The sequence below is a fragment of the Homo sapiens genome, chromosome 18 (genome assembly GCF_000001405.40).
Source record: "Homo sapiens chromosome 18, GRCh38.p14 Primary Assembly".
NCBI lineage: Eukaryota > Metazoa > Chordata > Mammalia > Primates > Hominidae > Homo > Homo sapiens.
Genome location: NC_000018.10, coordinates 78264460 through 78269371, shown reverse-complemented (window position 1 = coordinate 78269371; position 4912 = coordinate 78264460). Strand labels below are relative to the sequence as shown.

The following is a 4912-nucleotide window of genomic DNA, read 5'->3' as shown; positions in this document are numbered from 1 at the left end:
CAACTCAAAAAGAAATTTATTGAAAGAAACAAATTCAGGGAACATATATTATTTGAGAAAAGATAAAGAAAAAATGGTTGACTACAAAAATATTGCAGAACATTAAGAAGAGAATGTGCACAAAAACCTGAAATGCTTATAAATTATACATTCCCTTTCCCTCTCCTCCACCCTCACCGCAGCTCGGCCATGTAGCTCGCCTTCCACTGTTTGATTTCTCTCAGTTAGGGAGATGAGATGACTTTACTGAAATAATGAAACACATGGATGGAAAATAACCCCAAAGACGGGAAAGCTGAAAATGCAAGATTGATAAAGTAATTTTAATTTGGTTCTACATATGTTAAGGTAGTTAGGGTGACTTTTGTGAAGGAGTCCAACTGTGTGAAGACAGATGTGCAGAATCGGATTAAACACACACCCACCCCCGCCCTCACTCTGGCGCCTGCTCTCTTTACACGGGGGCGATGCTGTTTTCATTTCAGAGCACACTGTGTTGTTTTCGCAAACCAGAGCATCTCAGATAACGTTCTAGGAATTGCTCATCATTCATGGTGGGGCTGCAAAGCCACTGGACGTCTCCTGGTCAGCGCATTTATGATGTGAAAATGTATGATTGACTTTCAGCAATATTCTCCTTGGTGTCACAGGTCCCCAGGGCAAAGGAGGTCAGGAAGAGAAGGAGGTGAAGGGAGGGGAAGGGAGGAAAGGCTGTCAAAGAACAATGAGCCGTAACCGAGCCCTTAGCTTCCCAAGTATGATTCTCTCTAATGCAGCTCAAGAACGTCTTTTTCCTCCTCAATCTGCCCTTACTCCTACTTATGTTCAAAAACATCACAGATAAAACGCAGGCTCCCGCTGGTGCATTGATCCTCGCCACAGTCCAGGGCCTGAGATGCCTGGACGCACGTGCTGCCCCAGCCCTGGGCCCCTGCTGCTGGGTGGCCTTCCTGCCCCTGGAGCCGTCTGGGCCGGGGACAGCGTACCGGGCCACCTGGTGTCCAGGGAGATGGTCTGGCGATCAATATGGCGGTGACAGCAGTGGATAGGAGGCTCGTTTGAACCTCACACGCAAATACAGGCAAAATCAAGACAGCTGCTCCCATCTAGGGAAGACTGGGCTCTCTCCATCGAGTCTTCAAGACTCAAGCGGCTGTAAGCAGCAGAGGCCTCCTCTGAAGTTGGAACGTAGAGGAGGCAGAGAGGTTATGCAATAAAGCACTTACTGTACGTTTCATGTGCTTCTCTCAAAAGATCAGAGATGTGAGATTTAGAAGCCAGTAGGTCACGGTTACATGGCCTCTGCGGTCTCCACCTCCATGATGTCCTGTTTAAAAATTCCAGGTGAAATTTTTTAGGGTGTTTCGGCATTCTGGGTGCAAATCTGAGATGCAGTTTTACATAAATCTCTACAGTGAGTATGACTAAGGTAGGATACTTGTAACAACTCAAACTAGTTTATTCTCTTTATCTGGAAATAGTTTCTTTCTCCTTAAGATGAGGAAACAGATAAACCCTATAAGAACCTGAGGCTTCACTGGAAGGGACTGTGGATTCCCCGAGGGAATCCCATTATGCTTAAGACTCCGGAGACTGAGAGGTTAACTGATGTGCCCACAGTCTTAGAGCAGCGCCCCGACCTAGGAAACCTGGATTCCTGGCTTGGTCCTGTTCCTAGTATATTGTTCTTTGTGTTTTCCTTAATCTCTCAATGGTGGAATGAGTGAGGATCCGCAGAATCCTAGCAGGTAGATTAAACCTTTCTGAGCAGTATCACGTACAAGGTAGTGGGATTCAACAATGAACAAAGCAATCGTCTGGGCGTGGTGGCTTAGGCCTGTAATCCCAGCACTTTGAGAGACCCAGGCAGGTGGATCACTTGAGCTCAGGGGTTCCAGACCAGCCTAGGCAACACTCCCAAATGTCAATTGATGTCACTAGTAGTAGCGTCCTTGGCAAAACAAACCATAGTTTATCACAACTTTCACTAGTCCAGCCATTCCTCGCAATTTTTGTATTTCTGACAAATATAAACGTAATTGGAGGGAGGGGAACCAGAGGGGCTGAAAGACATCATCCAATCAGTCAGAAAATACCAGCCCATGCTTAAGTTTATTTCTGTATGTTCCCTCTATTCACAGCAATTTCATCTGATACATGGATTTTTATTTCTTCCGTTTTTTGCACTCCCCATTCTTCCAGCTTTCATTCCACTGTTGAGTGCGCCCCCTTCCTATACACTCCATGCATCAAGAGCCTGCGTTGATTCACCATTTCCCATGTCATTGTTGGGACGTGGGCTCTCGCTTCCGTTGGATAAGTGCATTTCCTTACAGTGGAACTGCTGAGACAGAGTGGATGTTTAACTTTAAACACAGCGGCCACTGGGTCTTCAGGGGACTATGCTGTTTTAACTCCCCCAACAATGCACAATAGTTCCAGTTGCTCCACAAGGTATTGGTTGGCTCAGTCTGCCATAATGAAAGACATGGACTCGGCGGCTTAAAACAGCCAACATTGATTTTATCCCAACCTGGAGGCTGGGAGTCCAAGGCCAAGGTGTCATGAGGGTGGGTTTCTCCTGAGGCCTCTCCTTGGCTTGTATATGGCCATCTTCTTGCTGTGTCTTTCTGTGGGCTTTTCTCTGCGCTCTTTCCCTACAAAGACAGCAGTCATGTTGGATTAAGACCCATCCTGATGACTTTATTTTACCTTAATACCTTCTTGAAGGCTGTACCTCCGAATACAATTGCATTCTCAGGAGTTAGGGCTTCAATCCTTACAACACACATCCTCTCCAAAATTAGATGTGTCTGGGTTTTCTGGTTTTTATTGATTTTTTTTTTGCCATTCTACTAAGTGTGAAATAGTATCTCCTTTATATTTTCCATAAACCTAGTGGACATTCTTATATCTCCTTTGTGATATATTTTTGTTACCTATTTTTTTGATTGAGTCTTCCTATTTTTGATTTAAGAGTTTTATATATTCTGAATAAAAGTATATTGGATTAAATATTTGGCTTGCAATTTTTTTTACAATCTGTAACCTGCTTATTCATTTTCTTAATGATGTATTTTAATTACATCTAATATTTCCTTTTTTCCCCTTTTATGATTAGTGCTTGTTTTCTTCTAAGAAATATTTGCCTATCTCAAGTTTCTGGTTCTACCTTTTGTGTCTGGGCCTACCAGAACTGAATTTTTGTATAGGAAGACATGCAATGGTTTAAACTGATTGTTGACGTGTCTAATTGTCCCCAAAGACTTTCCTGTCCCCTTTGAGTCATCTTGGCACATTTGCCGAAAAGCCGTTGATGTGTAATGAATATCCATTTTATTCTGTTGGTCTTTTATCTACAATTATACCATTCATTACACTATCCTGATTAATGTGTCTATCTAGTAAGTCTTGAATTTGGCAACAGTGAGTTCTACAACTTTGTTTTTCATTTATTTACTTTTAAAATGAGCCAATGTAAATTATTACATTAAAGGGATGAAAATAAGCTATATAGTCATCTTGTTAGATGCCCAAAGTCATTTGATAAAATTCAACACTTGTTCATGATAAACTCTCAGAAGCTGAAAATAGAAAAGTACTTCCCCAAACTGACAAATGACAGCTACAAAAAAGCTGTAGATATAATCCAGTTCACGGCGAAATACTGGATGCCTTCACTCTGAGATCAGGAGGAAGGCTGGAGCATCCACCATTGGGTTTTATGCTCAATGTTGTCATAGATACCCCAGCACTGTAACAAAGAAACAGAAAGAGAAAAGGAAAAGATGTTAACACTGGAACAAAAGACATAAAACCATCTTTCTCCTAAGTTGTTATAACTGTGTATCTAGAAACCTAAAGAACCATAAAAAACACTTAGAAATGACAAGTTAAAAGTTTCCTGAATACGAAGTCAATATCCAAAATCAGTTAAGTGTCTCTATTACCAACATTTAAAAATAAAAGAAAATGAAAAAACAGTATTATATATAATGTAATTTAAAAAAAGAAGTACTTAGAATAAATATAACCAAAGTTTTGAAAACGTCTACACTAGAAATTCCAAAACATTGTTGAGTGAAATTAAGGATGACTTAAAAGATAGAGACTATTCTATGTTCATGAATTTTAATAAGCAACATTTTTAAGATGTCATTTTTTACAAATTGGATATACATTAAATGCAATATCAATCAATATTCCAGTATTTTTTGTGGCAATGGACAGACTGATTCTAAATTTATAAACAAATGCAGCACCAAAGAATTACTTAGGTAGTATTCACAATGAAAAACAAGACAAGTGACTCCATGAAATTGCATAAATTAATAAAATTTCTGGCAGGTAAGGCAGCTTGGTATTGGCCTATGAGAAAACAATATGCCAATGGAATTAAAATGGAGTCTAGAAAACCCACATGAGGACATGAGGACAGCTACCTGATTTATAGCAAAGGCTCCACTGCAAATCAGAGGTGAAACTTTTTTAAAATCTCAATAATTGGTGCTTGAAGAACTGGATATTGGAAAACAATCAAGCCTTCCCCTTCTTCACATGTGTACAAATGATTTGAGGTGGACAACAGAGCTAACTGTGAAAGCTAGAAAAATTGTAAGGAGTAAAACTATACTTAAACAAACCGTAAGTATAAAGGACAAAAAAGCCCACTCTCATGTATTGCCACATAATGAATCACCCAGATTTTCCTCTATTTCTTTTACGCTTTCTTTTAACATTTAACTTGTATGTGTCTTTCATTTATTTTGAATTCTGTAAGAGTTCTTCCTTATTTTCCTACAAATATTAATCAATTATTTCCATTATGTATATTGATAATATTTTCTACTCTACCAATTATTTGTCCAACACTAATTGAGTGTTCCTCATGGGATAGGTACTGTGTCTTATG

At 39.8% G+C, this 4912-nt stretch overlaps 2 annotated features.

The window, feature by feature from the left end:
* Nucleotides 419-919: an enhancer, noted in NCBI's record as "H3K4me1 hESC enhancer chr18:76028453-76028953 (GRCh37/hg19 assembly coordinates)". NCBI's record gives its function as "activates a minimal SCP1, AML or CMV promoter by ChIP-STARR-seq in naive H9 embryonic stem cells {active_cell/tissue: H9 hESC(naive)}" and the evidence as "EXISTENCE:reporter gene assay evidence [ECO:0000049][PMID:30033119]".
* Nucleotides 920-1420: an enhancer, noted in NCBI's record as "H3K4me1 hESC enhancer chr18:76027952-76028452 (GRCh37/hg19 assembly coordinates)". NCBI's record gives its function as "activates a minimal SCP1, AML or CMV promoter by ChIP-STARR-seq in naive H9 embryonic stem cells {active_cell/tissue: H9 hESC(naive)}" and the evidence as "EXISTENCE:reporter gene assay evidence [ECO:0000049][PMID:30033119]".